The sequence below is a fragment of the Homo sapiens genome, chromosome 11, assembly GCF_000001405.40.
Source record: "Homo sapiens chromosome 11, GRCh38.p14 Primary Assembly".
Classification (NCBI taxonomy): Eukaryota; Metazoa; Chordata; class Mammalia; order Primates; family Hominidae; genus Homo; species Homo sapiens.
The window spans coordinates 119,121,128-119,138,454 of NC_000011.10; the positions used below are offsets into that span (position 1 = coordinate 119,121,128).

At 48.1% G+C, this 17,327-nt stretch overlaps 1 protein-coding gene across 19 annotated transcripts, besides 1 other annotated feature; it reads left to right on the forward strand.

Annotated features, from left to right (window-relative positions):
* Positions 187–466: a silencer, noted in NCBI's record as "silent region_3970". NCBI's record gives its function as "represses an Ori minimal core promoter by ATAC-STARR-seq in GM12878 lymphoblastoid cells {active_cell/tissue: GM12878}" and the evidence as "EXISTENCE:reporter gene assay evidence [ECO:0000049][PMID:35858748]".
* Positions 453–14,932, forward strand: HINFP (histone H4 transcription factor). 19 transcript variants are annotated; one of them, NM_001351971.2, is made up of 13 exons: positions 453–512; positions 656–886; positions 2,441–2,557; positions 5,808–5,998; positions 9,598–9,827; positions 10,408–10,519; positions 10,703–10,855; positions 11,116–11,170; positions 11,369–11,446; positions 11,534–11,654; positions 11,737–11,875; positions 11,968–12,092; positions 12,957–14,932. In NM_001351971.2, exons 9-13 carry the CDS (start codon positions 11,434–11,436, stop codon positions 13,369–13,371), a joined length of 813 nt encoding a protein of 270 aa, NP_001338900.1. In that variant the 5' UTR covers positions 453–512; positions 656–886; positions 2,441–2,557; positions 5,808–5,998; positions 9,598–9,827; positions 10,408–10,519; positions 10,703–10,855; positions 11,116–11,170; positions 11,369–11,433; the 3' UTR covers positions 13,372–14,932. The 19 variants fall into 19 exon arrangements, with proteins under 19 accessions (NP_001338900.1, NP_001338894.1, NP_001338889.1 ...); NM_001351965.2 differs by lacking the exon at positions 656–886 and adding an exon at positions 7,224–7,321; NM_001351960.2 differs by lacking the exon at positions 11,116–11,170.
* Positions 14,933–17,327: the final 2,395 nt, after the last annotated feature.

Consider the following 17,327-nt stretch of genomic DNA (forward strand, 5'->3'; position numbering starts at 1 on the left):
ATAATAAGACTAAGAGGCTGAAGGAAAGGGTAGAACCTTCAATCTGAGCCGAGCGGGGCCGACAGCGCTGGGCAGCATCCCACGCCTTTTTCTCCGCGAGGCCCACGCAACCAGCCAACTAAAGCGAAGAACCACGTGAGGGAGACCCCACTGCGCACCAGGCGCGAGCCCTGCGCATGCCCGTTGGGTCCCGGAGGCCGAGCCTGCGCAGTTAGGGGAACTCAGGCCCATAGGCTCCCCGCCTTTGCGTTGCCCTGAGCAGCGAGGCGCGGTCACGTGCTACCTTTTGCACGTATCCTGTCGCCCCTCTGTCCGCCCGGGACGCCTAGCCCCACCCACTGTTCCCGCCCCTTCCGTGTTTTGGTGCGCACGGGTTCCGCCAGACACAGCTACCATTGGCTGTCAGTCGGATCCGAGAACGACGATTGGCTTTCCTTGACCGTCCCTCAAGCGCCTCTCCGGAGATGGTCTGAGGTGGGAGAAGAGCTGAAGAGACCTGGAGCCGACAGACGGTAAGCTGGGGTATGTGCTCTGCAGGGGCTGCAGGAGGCCAAGCTCTTCCCGAGCCACCTCGGCGAGTATTCTTGCCGCTTGGCCACGCTGGTCTGCCCTGGTCCGGTCCCCTCACCCCGACTGGAACCTCCCTGCTTTCTAGTCTAGGGGCTTCGCTGCGGCTGAGACTCGGTCGCCGCCACGCCTTAGCGTGAAGGATTCCGGGAAGCCTGCGGGACTGCGAGTGGAGAGGTTTTGCCCAACGGGACGGTCTCCTTCCTTCTGTCCAAATTCTACCTGTCCTTCGAGGCGTGGTGCGGGCCCCACTGCTTAGGGGAGACTTCCTTTTCGCCTGACCGCGGAGGTGTCTCTCTGTCCTGGTCTCCCTCATCGGGTACTTTGTTTCGGTCGTTGTCTTCACGTATCAGTCTTATCTTTTTGGCCAAATTATGAGTTCTTAGGCGTTTAGGACCCTTTTTTTCTTGAATACCACAGTTCATTCATTGTCTTGCGTTACAGTATATGCCCTCTTAAGTGTTAAGAGGGTAGAGTGAAGATCATGCCCCTATCTCCTCAGAGTAGAAACAAGAGACACAGAAAGAGAAATTAAAGAAGACAGGAGGACAGTCAGAGAGCGTCAGGGAGTTTTGCCTAGGTTTCAGATCATTCTGTATCGCCAGCTAGCTTGCCTCCTTGGACTTACCCACCAGTCTAACAGCAGGTGTATGTTTAGAATATTTGTGCTCGGCACAGTGTAGGGACACGGGCAGGTGTGATATGGTTTCTGCTCAGAAGCTTCTTATAGTCCAATTGGGTAAACGAGACTAGAACACATAAAACGACCATGGCAACATGAAAATAGGGTTGAAGTTTTATGGTGTCAGCTGTGCCAGCCATAGAACTAAGGAGCAAGAGTAGATTCAGGGATGGGGTAGTTTAGGAAGGCTTCCCGGAATGTGATTATCTCCTGATATTTATTGAGTACCTGGGGTGTGCAAAGCTCTGTGCTGAATCTGAGAATGAGAAGTGAATAAGTGATGGCCACTGTCCTGAGAAACTCCTAGTCTAGGGGAAACAAGTTTCATTGCATTGATAGCAAAGATGTGTGTGGATGCCGTGGGCAAGAGATGGGATATGCCAGCTGTACCTGGATGAATTGGGAAGGGGGTCATCAAAGAGAAGACTTTGGGGTTTGAAAGGCGAATAGAAGTTGCATAGGTAGGCCTGTCGCGGTGGCTCACACCTGTAATCCCAGCACTTTGTGAGGCCGAGGCGGGCGGATCACTTGAGGTCAGGAGTTTGGGACCAGCCTGACCAACATGGCAAGACCTCGTCTCTACTAATACTACAAAAATTAGCTGGGCGTGGTGGTGCGTGCTTATAGTCCCAGCTATAATACTTCGGAGGCTAAGTCACGAGAATCGCTTGAACCTGGGAGGCGGAGGTTGCAGTGAGCCCAGATCACAGCACTGCACTCCAGCCTGGGCGACAGAGCAAGACTCCATCTCCAAAAAAAAAAAAAAAAAAAAAAAGAACTTGCGTAGGCAGAGAGTTTTAGGAGAATGTAGAGTATTCAGAGACAAAGATGATTGAATCAGAGGAAGAGGGAATGAAGTATGGGTGAGGAAGCCAGAGAACAGCATCATGTGGGAGAAAGAGCATGATCTTTGGATTGGAATGAGGGTGCTCTTACATCAGATGAAGTGTAGAGAGGACTCACCACAGGGCTGACACACTGTAGCTTCTCAATAGATGTTCGTTTCCCTACCTAGAACTGGAGAAGTAAAATTGAGACCACTTTGAGAAGAGCCTTGCATTTCATACTGTAATAGTCAGAGGAGGTGTGGGATTTTATGACTTTTGAAGCTTTTTTCTACTTTTCTTACCACAACATTATAAAAGCAGTCAATATTCAATATTTCTTTCTTCTTTTTTTTTTTTTTGACAGGGTCTGGGTCTGCCGCCCAGGATGGAGTACAATGGTGTGATCTTGGCTCTTTGCAACCTCTGCCTCCTGGGCTCAAGCCTTCCTCCCACCTGAACCTCCCAAGTAGCGGGACTGCAGGTGCATGCTACCACATCGGCTGTTTTTTTTTTTTTTTTTTTTTTTTTGAGATTGAATCTTGCTCTGTCACTAGGCTGGAGTGCAATGGTGCGATCTCGGCTCACTGCAACCTCTGTCTCCCGGGTTCAAGTGATTCCCCTGCCTCAGCCTCCATAGTAGCTGGGACTACAGGCGTGTGCCACCATACCTAGCTAATTTTTTGTATTTGGCCAGGATGGTCTCAATCTCCTGACCTTGTGATCCCCTCGCCTCGGCCTCCCAAAGTGCTGGGATTACAGGCATAAGCCACTGCGCCCGGCTGATTTTTGTATTTTTAGTAGAGACGGAATTTTGCCATGTTGCCCAGGCTGGTCACAAACTCCTGAGCTCAAGCCATTTGCTCACCTCAGCCTCCCAAAGTGCTAAGATCGTGAGCCACTGCACTCGGCCCAGCAGTCAATATTTGTAATAGGGATTCACTAGTAGTCTGTGAGCAGCTCAGCAACCCTATATGCACCCCAGAGTGTTAAGGATGACTGGATTCTTCTCTGAGGAGGAGAAAAGGCTATGTAGGTACAGTAGGTATAGTGGGTTCAGAAAAGCCTGTATTGGGGGCATGAAGGATCTTCTGTTTTTTCGTATTTTCTGTTTTTTTTCCTTTTAGTATTCAGTAAAGGCCTTTTTTCAGAGTTCCCACCTGTCTCAGGTAGGCCAGAGAGAGCAACATGGTGGGGTCAGCAAGAATCCGTGAGAATTCCTGAGGAGAAGGTGACACTCAGGAGACAGAGCCAAGGCCGGCTAGTGTCCTCTCTCTAGCAGAAATTTTGCTTGCAACGTCACCCTCTGTTCTGTGTTTCGTTTATTCTTTAATTGTTACTCAAAGTATGCTTCTGGAACTGCTTGCATCACAACTGGGGTGCTGAGTTAAAAGGGCAGATTTCTAGGCTTAACTCCTGCCTTCCTGAATCCGAACTTCTCACGCAGGCGCTGGATAACTACATTCGTGTGCAGATCTAAAATTGAGAGCTACCTGGGCATGGTGGCTCACATCTATAATCCCAGCACTCTGGGAGGCTGAGGCGGGTGGATCACCTGAGGACAGGAGTTCGAGACCAGCCTGGCCATCATGGTGAAACTCTGTCTCTAGCAAAAATACAAAAATTAGCCAGGCGTGGTGACACACCTGTAATCCCAGCTACTCAGGAGGCTGAGGCAGGAGAATCTCTTGAACCCGGCAGGTGGAGGTTGCAGTGAGCTGAGATTGCGCCACTGCATTCCAGCCTGGGTAACAGCGAGACTCTGTCTCAAAAAATAAAAATAAAATGAAATAAAATTGAGAACCTTTAGTTTTTTGTTTGTGTGTGTGTGTGTGTTTTTTTTTTTTTTTTTTTTTGAGACAGAGTCTTACTCTGTTGCCCAGGCTGGAGTACAGTGGCACGATCTCGGCTCATTGCAGCTTCTGCCTTCCAAGTTCAAGCGATTCTCCTGCCTCAGCCTCCCGAGTAGCTGGGATTACAGGCTTGTGCCACCACGCCTGGCTAATTTTTGTATTTTTAGTAGAGACAGGGTTTCACCATGTTGGCCAGGCTGGTCTTGAACTCCTGACTTCAGATGATCCACCTGTCTTGGCCTCCCAGAGTGCTGGGATTAGAGGTGTGCACCAGTGCGCACAGCCGAGAACCTTCAGTTTCATGTTTATCTTTCTTCAATAAATATTTATTACAGACTGGGTGCAGTGGCTCATGCCTGTAACTCCAACACTTTGGGAGTCTGAGGCAGATGGGTTGCTTGAGTCCAAGAATTCGAGACCAGCCTGGGCAACATGGCAAAACCCTGTCACTACAAAAACAAAACAAAACAAAAATTAGACAGATGTGGTGGCGCATGCCTGTGGTCCCAGTTACTTGGGAGGCTGAGGTAGGAGGATCTCCTGAGCCTGGGGAGGTCGAAGCTTCAGTGAGCTGTGATTGTGCCACTGTACTCCAGCCTGGGTGACAGGGTGAGACTCTGTCTCAAGAAAAAAAATATTTATTACATGCCTAAGCATGCCTAGCAGTGTATAGACACCCAAGGTGCAGTATAAACTACACAGATACGGCTTTTTATGTTCAAATGGAATCTACATTTTAACAGAAGGTATTAGCAGAGTGGTGGAGTAAACCGTTGGATAGGTTAGGTAAAGGCAGATTGTATGGCACTGTGAAAGTCTGGCAGGGGACTTATGATTCAATAAGAAATAAGGAGCTTCTAGGCTCATCTGTAGGCTCTATGGAGTAGAACCGTATATGGACTAGAGTCAGCCCAACATGACCCTACCATTACCACTAGTGTGTGGCCGTGAGCAAGTCAGTTGACCTCTGGAACTTCAGGTGTTTATCTATAAATGAGGTTAAAAATAGCACCTACCAGCTGGGCGTGGTGGCTCACACCTATGATCCCAGCACTTTGGGAAGCCAAGGTGGGTGGATCACCTGAGGGCAGGAGTTTGAGACCAGCCTGACCAACATGGGGAAGAAACCCTGTCTCTACGAAAAATATAAAAATTAGCCAGGCGTGGTGGCGGGCGCCTGTAATCCCAGCTACTCAAGAGGCTGAGGCAGGAGAATCGCTTGAACCCGGGAGGCGGAGGTTGCAGTGAGCCAAAATCGAGCCATTGCACTCCAGCCTGGGAGATGAGCGAAACTCAATCTCAAAAAAAAAAAAAAAAAAAGCACCTACGGCAAAGGGTGGTGTTGGTAATTAAATGACATAATGCAAATAAAATGCTTACTGTGGTGCTTGACATATAGTAAGTGTGAAATTAAAAACAAAAAGATTTATTATCTTCATTTTGCAGATGAGAGTATTCAGAAGTTAAGTTCTTGACAAAGGTCATACAGCTAGTAGATGGTAGACAGTGGAGCCAGGATTTGAACCCTGATCCTTCTCAAAAGCCATCTGTTTGAACCTGAGCATTGTTCTGCCTCACAGAGGAATAATTCCTTCTTGGTGGGTTGCTCTGAAGCTTCATGAGAAAATGTCTGTTAAAGCGTTTAGCTCAGTGCCTGGCACACACTCAATAGTGTTAGTTTTTGTTTTCCCTTTCCACAAACACCAGACATCTTCCAGGGATTTAAGGAATTACTCCATCCTTACTGTAAAAGGGCAGGGTTTCTCATGGGTCACTGGAACAACACGTGCTGATTCTAGGCAGGCTGCCTGCCCAGCTTTTTGCCCTCAGCAGCACCTGGGTGGAATTCTTGCAGCTGTGGATTTCTTCCTCTTCCTCTAGGGTGAAGGCCATGCCGCCTCCTGGGAAAGTTCCCCGAAAGGAGAATCTGTGGCTACAGTGTGAGTGGGGGTCCTGCTCCTTTGTGTGCTCAACCATGGAAAAGTTCTTTGAGCATGTCACTCAGCACCTGCAGCAGCACCTGCATGGCTCTGGGGAGGAGGAGGAAGAGGAAGAGGAGGATGACCCACTTGGTAAGAGAGCAGGACACAGGAAGGGGAGGAGCTCAAGGAAAGGTGGAAAATCTGACTTTCTTTTCCTTAGAGGGAGAAGGCGGCCTAAGAGAATGGTGGTTTATTTTCCTAATTGTGTTTTTGTTGTATATAAAAACATTGTAAACTCATTTATAGAAAACTCAGTCAACAAGGATATAAGGAATAAATCTGCCATCCTGCCATCAAGAAGTAATTGCTGACAGTACTTTAGTGAACATTGTTTTTGACATCTCTCTGCCTGTGTTTACATATATTTAAATACAGATGAATGTGCTTTTTTTTAATCATTCTGTACAAGTTGTTGGCAACCTGTGTTTTGTTGTTGTGTTTTTTTTTTTTTTTTTTTTACTCTTCTAGTATTCCCAATTTTTTTTTTCTTTTACTGCAACCAGTCAGAAATACATCTTACTTTTTAGAGACAGGGCTTCATCTTGTCACCCAGGTTGGAGTCCAGTGTCATGATCATAGCTCACTGCAGCCTTCAACACTCAAGGGATCCTCCTGCCTCAACCTCCCGAGTAGTTAGGACTGCAGGCATGTACCACCACCACACGCCAATTTTTAAAAAAATTTTTTTTAGAGACAGGATCTTGCTTATGTTGCCCACTGATCTCAAACTCCTGGCCTCGAGCAATCCTCCTACCTTAGCCTCCTAAGTAGCTGGGACTATTGGCTTGTGCCACCAAGTCCAACCCCACTCCCACCTTCCAATTTTTTTTTTTTTTTTTGAGACGGAGTCTTGCTCTGTTGCCAGGTTGGAGTGCAATGGTTCGATCTCGGCTCACTGCAGCCTTTGCCTCCCAGGTTCAAGCAATTCTCCTGCCTCAGCCTCTTGTAGCTGGGACTACAGGCGCGCGCCACCACGCCCAACTAATTTTTGTACTTTTAGTAGAGATGGGGTTTCACCATGTTGGCCAGGATGGTCTCAATCTCTTGATCTCATGATCCGCCCACCTCGGCCTCCCAAAGTGCTGGGATTACAGGCGTGAGCCACCGCACCTGGCCCCATCTCTCACTTTTTAACCTTTGTCTGACTTATGTTTTAGGTATGCCTTTTATCAATAGCAAATAACTGGGATTTTAATAAAATCCAATCTGAAAACAATAACAATAGTGAACTGTATTCTATAGTACCTACTGTGTGTTAAGTATTGCTGGGTACTTTATTTTTTTTTTGAGATGGAGTCTCATTCTTGTTGCCCAGGCTGTAGTGCAGTGGTGCAATCTCGGCTCACTGCAACCTCTGCCTCCTCGGTTCAAGCGATTCTTCTGCCTCAGCCTCCCGAGTAGCTGGGATTACAGGTGCGTGCCACTACGCCCGTCTAATTTTTTTTTGTATTTTTAGTAGAGACAGGCTTTCACCATGTTAGCCAGGATGCCCCTGTTGGCCAGCCTGGTCTTGAACTCCTGACCTCAGGTGATCCGCCCGCCTCAGCCTCCCAAAGTGCTGGGATTATAGACGTGAGCCACCATGCCCGGCCAGTACTTTTTTAAACCTACATTAAAGCACTATTTCCCAAAGAGCCTATGAGATAGGCACTATTATTATTATTATTTATTATTATTATTTTTAGATGGAGTCTTGCTCTGTCGCCAGGCTGGAGTGTGGTGGTGCGATCTCAGCTCACTGCAACCTCCACCTCCCAGGTTCAAGCAATTCTACTGCCTCAGCCTCCCGAGTAGCTGGGATTACAGGCACATGCCACTATGCCCAGCTAATTTTTTTTTGTATTTTTAGTAGAGACGGGGTTTCACTGTGTTAGCCAGGATGGGATAGGCACTATTATTATACCCATTTTACAAATAAGGAAACGGAGGCACAGAGGAATAAAATAACTTGCCCAAAGTCACGGTACTAATAAGTGTGGCAGGATTTAAAAGAAAAAGGAAAAAAAAAACTTTTTTTCAGAGTAAGATGGAGTCTTACTCTGTTGCTCAGGCTAGAGTGCAATGGCATGATCTCGGCTAATTGCAACCTCCGCCTCCCGGGTTCAAGTGATTCTCCTGCTTCAGCCTCCCAAGTAGCTGAGATTACAGGTGCCCGCCACCACGCCCGGGTAATTTTTGTATTTTTAGTAGAGACAGGATTTCACCATATTGGCCAGGCTGGTCCCAAACTCCTGACCTTGTGATCTGCCTGCCTCGGCCTCCCAAAGTGTTGGGATTACAGGCGTGAGCCACTGCGCCCGACCAAAGCCACTTTTTTTTTAGAGACAGAGTCTTGCTATGTTACCAGGTTGATCTTAAACTCTTGGCCTCAAGTGATCCTCCTGCCTCAGCATGCTGAGCAGCTGGGACTATAAGCATAAGCCACTGCATCTGGCAGGAATACATTTTTCTTTTCTTTTTTTTTTTTTTTGTGGGAGTGCAGTGGCTCGATCTCCGCTCACTGCAAGGTCCGCCTCCCGGGTTCATGCCACTCTCCTGCCTCAGCCTCCCAAATAGCTGGGACTACAGGCGCCCACCACCAAGCCCAGCTAATTTTTTTTTGTATTTTTTAGTAGAGACGGGGTTTGACTGTGTTAGCCAGGATGGTCTCGATCTCCTGACCTCGTGATCTGTCTGCCTCGGCCTCCCAAAGTGCTGGGATTACAGGCGTGAGCCACCGCACCCGGCCCAAAATGTGGTTGATAGTTCACTGAACTGATTTCCTAACCCACTAGTGGGTCACAACACAGTCTGAAAAACTCTATTCTACAGGAAATATGGAGGCAGCTCTCCTTCTCCCACCCCAAATTCTGTTTTAAGTCTGATGACTATGAACCATAATTGATAGTTTCAAAATTCAAGTCATATTTATACAAAGGCAAAATTGGGGAATGATTATATTTTCTAAAGTATCTGTGTTTCAAAACAAGTTAACTTATATAAAGCGCTGAAAATACAGTGCTTAGGGATGCTAGAGAGATAGGAAATGGATTGGAAGAGTTGATGGGGCCTTCTTGGAGAAGGCAGATCTTGAGCAAAACATGAGGGGAAGGAGGAGTGGTGGTTTTACAAGGAGAAGTGGGAGGTGTCAGATCGAGAGGCAGCATCTTCATCAGGAACTGCAGAAACTCAAGTCAGAGGACTTGCGTGCCGGCCATTTCTGCTGTCTGTTTCTGGCATAGGCCTTGCACACACTCTCACCTCTGCCTAGACCACACTTCTTCACCTATTTACAGATACTCATCCATCGTACTTCAGAGTTCAACATGGGGACGTTTCTCAGAACACCATGTCAAATGACCTCTGTTTAATGCTTTTATAGCACCATGTATATCCCCGCTTTGTAACACTCATCACTGGTTGCAGTTTTATATTTATAGATCTGATTATTTGATGAATATGCTTTCTCCCTGACTGAAAGCTATGTGAGGGCAAGGAGTGGGACACTTTTTACTTGTTATAGTCCCTCTAACTGGCACACAATTTATGGTCATTAAATACTGGTATTTGCTAAATGAACCCTGGTAATTTGGTTAGAGTCCAGCCTCCTCACGAGTCCAGCCTCCTCACTCTCTGTTTAGTGCTGCAGGTGGAAGGTGACCTGAGCCTTGGAAAGTGTCAGACTCTTCCTTTTAAACCCCTTTCTACAGAGGAAGAATTCTCCTGCTTGTGGCAGGAATGTGGCTTTTGTTCTCTGGACAGTTCTGCTGACCTCATCCGCCATGTCTACTTCCACTGCTACCACACCAAGCTGAAACAGTGGGGGCTGCAGGCCTTGCAAAGCCAGGCTGACCTTGGCCCCTGCATCCTGGACTTCCAGAGCCGGAACGTCATCCCTGATATCCCTGACCACTTCCTGTGTCTGTGGGAGCACTGTGAGGTCAGCAGGCAGTGCCAGTAATTGGGGTGGAAGGAAGCTGGGGGTCTTAACTCTGATGCCTTGTCCCTTTCAGGGATGCCTTATATTTCCAAGATTCCTGCTAGTATCTCTCTTCCATTTCTTTTGCTCTTTTAAAATTTGTTTATTTTTTACACACAGGCTCTTGATCTGAAGCCCAGGCTAGAGTGCAGTGGTACAATCATAGCTCACTGTAACCTTGAACTCCTGGGCTCAAGCAATCCTCCCACCTCAGCCTCCCAAGTAGCTAGGACTACAGGCATGTACCACCATGCCCTGCTAACTTCTAAATTTTTTGTAGAGACAAGGTCTGGGTGTGTTGCCCAGGCCGGTCTCGAACTCTTGGCCTCAAGTGATTCTCCTGCCTCAGCCTCTCAAAGTGCTGGGATTACAGGGTTTAGCAACCGCACCCGGCCACTCCTCCATTTCTGTGCAGTGCCTTTCCTCAAAATTTCCCATCCCCATCAAGTTAATTTGGGAGAGAGCCAAGAATTCTTCGGGCACATAGGGGTGAGTCCCTCTACCCACCCTCAGTCCTCACCCCAAGTTGCCCCTGGCACAGAATTCCTTCGACAATCCTGAGTGGTTTTATCGGCATGTGGAAGCACACAGTCTGTGCTGTGAATACGAAGCAGTCGGCAAGGACAACCCGGTGGTGCTGTGTGGCTGGAAAGGTAGGGCTGCTTCTTAACTTGTGGCTTCTGGAGGAAACGCTGGGGTTCCTGAAGAGCTGGGACAGAAAGGGATAGGGGTCCTACAGGGGCAAGGTTGACTGCCGGCTGGAGAGACTCAGGGGTACCAGATCCTAGGCAAAACTGGGGTTTTGTGGCAGGAGACTGATAGGGCTTCCTTCCCAGGCTGTACCTGCACCTTCAAGGACCGCAGTAAACTTCGAGAGCACCTCCGCAGCCATACCCAGGAGAAAGTGGTAGCCTGCCCCACCTGTGGGGGCATGTTTGCCAACAATACCAAGTTCTTAGATCACATCCGTCGCCAGACCTCATTGGATCGTAAGTAGTCAGAGGAAGTGGGGTGGATGCAGGCTGTCCTGCTTGGAATGGGTTAGGGGCATGTTTCTAGTGGGGGTGGCCACTGAAGAGACCTGCCTTTTGGCTGCCTCTTCTTTTTGGGCTCAGGCACCTCCCATAGTCTCTTTGCTGATTCAGATTCGTAGGCATTGTTATTCAGTACTTACTGTACCTCGTATCAGTTACTTAGGGAATCCTCACAACAGCCCCATGAGGTAGGCTTCTTATCCCCCTTTTTGCAGATGAGGAAACTGAGGCTCAGAGAGGTTAAATCACTTACCTGAGATCACACAGCTAGTAAGTGGTGAAGCTGGAATTCTAACTCAGGTTCTCTAAGTCCCATGCTCTTTCCATGATACTGTGTCCATTCATAGCTCCCTAAGCTCTCCTTTTCTCCTTGGGTGGTTCCCTTCTGCCTGGGATGGTTCCCCTCTCCTTTCTGTGCCTCTCCACTATCACCTACAGCCCTCCTTTCTTCTGCCTGCCCCACCCCAGAGCAGCACTTCCAGTGTTCTCACTGTTCCAAGAGATTTGCCACAGAGCGGCTATTGCGGGACCACATGCGCAACCATGGTGAGTGGCCTGCGGCCCACAGCCTCCCTCCTGCCCTCCAAGGTTCCACAAGTTCTCACATCACAGCCTCCTCTCTGCTTCTCTCAGTGAATCACTATAAGTGCCCTCTGTGTGACATGACCTGCCCGCTGCCTTCCTCCCTCCGCAACCACATGCGCTTTCGTCACAGTGAGGACCGGCCCTTTAAATGTGACTGTTGTGACTACAGGTAAGGGGGACCAGGGACCAGAAAACAGCTCATGTTCCAGTGTTCCCCATGTCCTCCAATCCCTCCTGATTTCTCATGGCAGCTGCAAGAATCTTATTGACCTCCAGAAGCACCTGGATACCCACAGCGAGGAGCCAGCCTACAGGTGTGATTTTGAGAACTGCACCTTCAGTGCCCGATCCCTCTGCTCTATCAAGTCCCATTACCGCAAAGTACATGAAGTGAGTGGGGCTGGTGTTGGGAAGGACTAGTGGAAGTATGGGGGACCCTGGGGTGAAGAGCTGGTCTCATTTCTCCCTTCCTTCCCCATCAGGGAGACTCTGAGCCAAGGTACAAATGTCATGTGTGTGACAAATGCTTCACACGGGGCAACAACCTCACCGTGCACCTTCGCAAGAAGCACCAGTTCAAGTGGCCCTCAGGGCATCCCCGTTTTCGGTATGTCTCTCAACCCTCCTTCCCAGATTAACACACTTGTTTTTATACCTTTTCAACCAGTTTTAAAAACCTTAATTTGGGTCGGGCGCGGTGGCTCACGCCTGTAATCCCAGCACTTTGGGAGGCCAAGGTGGGCGGATCATGAGGTCAGGAGTTCGAGACCAGCCTGGCCAACATGGTGAAACCCCGTCTCTACTAAAAATACAAAAAGTAGCTGAGCATGGTGGCACATGCCTGTAGTCCCAGCTACTTGGGAGGCTGAGGTGGGAGAATCACTTGAACCCAGAAGGCGGAGGTTGTAGTGAGCTGAGATCATGCCACTGCACTCCAACCTGGGTGACAGAGCGAGACTCCATCTCAAAAATAAATAAATAAATAAATAAAACCTTAATTTGATGGTGGTTTTATGTCTGCCATTTCCATTTAGATTCAAAGAATCCTAAGAATAATGGTGGAGCAAAGCTTATTTTTCTGTTTTTTGAATCTTGTAAGGCATGGTGCCAAACCCAATAAATGGTGCCAAAAAGTCCTGCAGCTGGAACTAGAGCTAGAGTCTAAGGGTTCTGATCCTTAGCTCCAAGGCCTTCTCATAAATCCTTTGACACTTTCACCCTCCAACACAGTCAGTCAGTCTCTGTTTTTCTGGTTGGGTTTCTATATAAAACTTTCCATTTTGAGTAATGATCTTTCCCTCTTGCCTTTTCTTCTACATATTCCAATAAAGACCTTTTTTGTCTTCAACTCCTGTCACTTGGATTCCAGGACTTCTTCCATCCCTCATGTTTGTTCCTTACTTTGCCAGCCTCGGCCATTTCTGTATCCCCCTGCCTGGGTTTGCTGCCCTTTATGCTCCTACCTCACCAGGTACAAGGAACATGAAGATGGCTATATGCGGCTGCAGCTGGTTCGCTACGAGAGTGTAGAGCTGACACAGCAACTGCTGCGGCAACCACAAGAGGGATCGGGCCTGGGAACGTCGCTGAACGAGAGCAGCCTGCAGGGCATTATTCTAGAAACAGTGCCAGGGGAGCCAGGACGTAAGGAAGAGGAAGAGGAGGGCAAGGGTAGCGAAGGGACAGCCCTCTCAGCCTCTCAGGACAACCCCAGTTCTGTCATCCACGTGGTGAATCAGACCAATGCCCAAGGCCAGCAAGAGATCGTCTACTATGTGCTGTCTGAAGCCCCAGGGGAGCCTCCCCCAGCCCCTGAGCCACCTTCAGGGGGCATCATGGAAAAGCTTCAAGGAATAGCTGAGGAGCCAGAGATCCAGATGGTTTGAAGGCCGCAGAGCCAGACCATTTCTTCCCCAGGTCCTGAAGTTTGAGCCAGGCAAGTGGCAGTGCCCCTAGTGGGCAGCCGTTGCCAATGGATGCCTTTAGGAGTGGTGCCGAGAGCAGTGTGGTCCACTCTGGCCTGGGTTTGCATCATTCTGCAGACTCTAAAGACTTCCCTTTTCTGCCAGACTACATTTTGTGGGGAGCCTGAGGACTCTGGATTCTTTGAGGGGATCCTGGATGTGTGTGTTCTTGTTAAAGAGGCTGTTATCAGGCTTAACCATAACCCTCAAGATCTGCTTGACAGTGATTAAATCCTTAGCTCACATCCATTCCCATCTTTCGGGCTCCTTAGGCCCAAGGATGGCATGTGACTGGTCCCTGCAAGGGTCCTTTCTTTGTCACCAGCCAAGGCATTGATAACCAAGTAGCCATTTTCCTCTTAAGGTTTCCTCTACAACCCCAAGGACTTTCATGATTATCCTCAGGGACAGGATTGGAGGCATTGAGCGTGTTTATTAACAAATTGTTTTTGGTAATAAAATAAATGCTTGGACTCTTATTTATTTCTTCTTACATTTGGTGGCAGTTTACTAGGTAATGAGGAGATACAGCCACCCAGAAGAGGAGCTGAATAGTTAGGCTTGTTCCCCTTCTGGTGACTCAGGTGGTTTGTTTTTTGTTTGCTTAACTGTCCTGTTGTCTTCTCCTCCTCCCCTTGGTGAAACTTCGCTATTCTCAGAGCGTATGCCATTTCCATGGAGGTCCCAGGTGTTTGGCTGTGAGTGGGCAGTAGTGGTGCTATAGAATGAACAAGAATGGGCTCACTGGGAGGATAGGGCAGCTGACCATGGCCTCACTCTGAATACTGATTAGAACCCAGTGCCTCTAGGGTAGGGGTTCTTTACCTGGGAGTGGGAAGGAAGCTGGGGGGTGGAGAGGATTGGGAAGCCTCCCAGGGAAGGGAGGCAATCAAGTGGTCCAGGAACCAAACTAGAAAATTGTGTGTCTGAATGTGCATTTTCCTGGGGAAAGGATCTGTTTTTTGCTAGATTATCAAAGAGATTGAAACCTCCCAAAATAAGAATCATCATTTCGTCTGGTTCAGCTGCTTCTCAGCACCCTGTGTCCATTTTTATGGTCTACTGCTATGCTGGAGAGGTCAAGGAAATAGTCTTGGGGACAGGAAGCTGCCCAAAAAGGATCTCTGGGCCTTTTTTTGTAAGACCTAATTCTATTACTAGAAAAACTAAGGCTGAATGCAGTGGTTCACGCCTGTAATCCCAACACTTTGGGAGGCTGAGGCGGGCGGATCACAAGGTCAAGAGATGGAGACCATCCTGGCCAACATGGTGAAACCCCGTCTCTACTAAAAATATAAAAATCAGCTGGGCATGGTGGCACACATCTGTAGTCCCAGCTACTCGGGAGGCTGAGGCAGGAGAATTGCTTGAACCCGGGAGGCTGAGGTTGCAGTGAGCCGAGATCATGCCACTGCACTCCAGCCTGGCGACACAGTGAGACTCCGTCTCAAATAAATAAATAAATAAAGAAAGAAAAGAAAAACTGTGTGTGTCTATTTGTGGAAAGAAAAAGATCTCTTCATTAATCCCATCAGCCATTTATTGAGTTCCTACTATAGTCCAGGCACAGGTGCTAAGGATACAAAGATGAATAAAACCCAGGACCTTCCCTGGAGGGACTTGCAATGCAGAAGCAAGGAAAGACTAGGTAAGCTGAGTGATAGAAGTTAATCAGGGTACATTTAGAAGGCTCCAAATAGGAGTAATGGTACTACCTGGGCAAGGGATCAGGAAAGGTTTCATCCAGGAAGAGACCTTCCACCTAACCAAGACTAGATGAAGACTTTAAAGGTTCTAAACTCTGAAAAGATTGTGGTGTCCCATTTTTCATATGTAATCAGAATGAAAATATTAAGCCATGAAACATTTAAAGTTCAACATGATTATACTTAAAACATATATTGTATATAGATTAACTATCAAATTCTGTTTCTAATTTTTTCTTTTATTTTTCAGTTCCCCAGTTTTGCTGGTGTCTAAGCACTGGCGTGGGGTGTCCCTTGAGTAATGCAGCACTAATGACTCTATCCATTCTTCCATGAGCAGTGTCTTCGGGAGCAGGCCAGCATTCTATGAAAAGGACCTTCCCTACTAGTCTTCTCAGTCATGCCCACACCAAATCGCATTGCTCTATCTGGACCATGGAGACAGCAGAAGAGATTCTGGTCTGTTACCATGTGATTCCATTCCCTAGGAGGAGGGGTGACTTGGGATCCTGGACTCAGTATGCATGGCTTAGAAAGTACTGGACCAGGAGTGAGGGGTCACTGTTGAGTAGTCTAGGCAGCCAGAGGCCTCTGGAAGGATACTAAAGGCTGTGGTGGGTGACAGTGGGCTCCTGGAGGGAGGAGGGTGATGATACTAATTTGGTTACCTTAGAATTTCACCTAGAGTCAACCCTGGTCCCAGCATCATGGTGTCTGAAGATTAAGGAGACACCCTGTCTTAGTCTTCCTTAAAGGGGGTAGGGATAGGAGAGAAGGCAGGTGGCCCAGGAGTTGGAAGCAGATAACTTCTTTTCTCTTATTTGTGGCAAGTCCACAACCACAGAGGACTTAGAAGAACTGGGTGGATATAAAAAAGTGTCAACTATGGCCGGGTATGGTGGCTCACGCCTGTAATCCTAGCACTTTGGGAGGCCGAGGTGGGCGGATCACTTGAGGTCAGGAGTTCCAGACCAGTCTGGCCAACATGGGGAAACCCTGTCTCTACTAAAAATACAAAAATTAGTTGGGCATGGTGGCACATGCTTGTAGTCTCAGCTACTCAGGAGGCTGAGGCAGGAGAATTGCTTGAATCTGGGAGGCAGAGGTTGGAGTGAGCTGAGATCACGTCACTGTACTCCAGCCTGGGCGACAGACCAAGACTGTCTCAAAAAAAAAAAAAAAAAAAGTGTCAACTAAAAAGGAAAATTGAAAAAGAGGCCAGGTGCAGTGGCTCATGCCTATAATCCCAGCACTTTGGGAGGCCGAGGTGGGTGGATGGCTTGAGCCCAGGAATTCGCGACTAGCCTGAGCAACATGACAAAACCCCAATTCTACAAAAAATACAAAAATTTAGCCCAGGCGTGGTGGTGCATGCCTGTAGTCCCAGCTACTTGGGAGGCTGAGGTGAGAGAATTGCCTGAGCCTGGGGAAGTTGAGGCTGCAGTGAGCTGTGATTGTGCCACTGCACTCCAGCCTGGATGACAGAACAGTGTCTCAAAAAAAAAAAAAAAAAAAAAAGAAAAATGATTTCTCCAAGATGAGAAGGGAGAGGAATGATGAATGGTCATGGGGAATAAATAATTACTGTCAGATTATGACCTAGTGAATTTGGACACTCAATGCATGTTAAATGAATAAATGAAGTTTGCTCAAGATCAGGAATCAAATGAGGAACATATCCATTTCATGTACAGTAGCAGAGAGACTTAAGGCTGAGAGGGAAGGGTGGAGGAGATGGTGAAAGCTTCTTCATACCATGCTAAATAGCTTGGATTTCTTGGCTGGGGAGGGAATGTGGAGGACAAGAAAGTAGATGAAACTTGGAAAGGAATGGGGATGTCCCCACCCTCGTGGAACTTAAGGCTAATTTCCTGAGGGGAAGAGACTAGAGGCCAAGGGGAAGAAGCCAGTGAGAGAAGATTTCAAAAATACAAGAGAAGCCTGGTGCGGTGGCTCATGCCTGTAATCCCAGCACTTTGGGAGGCAGAGGCAGAGGCAGAGGCAGGGGCAGAGGTGAGAGGATTGCTTGAGCCCGCGAGTTCGAGACCAGCCAGGGCAGCATGGCAGAACCCAAACTACAAAAAACTACAAAAAGCAGGGCATGGTGGCACGTGCCTATAATCCCAGCTACTCGGGAAGCTGAGATGGGAGGATGGCTTGAACCTGGGAGGT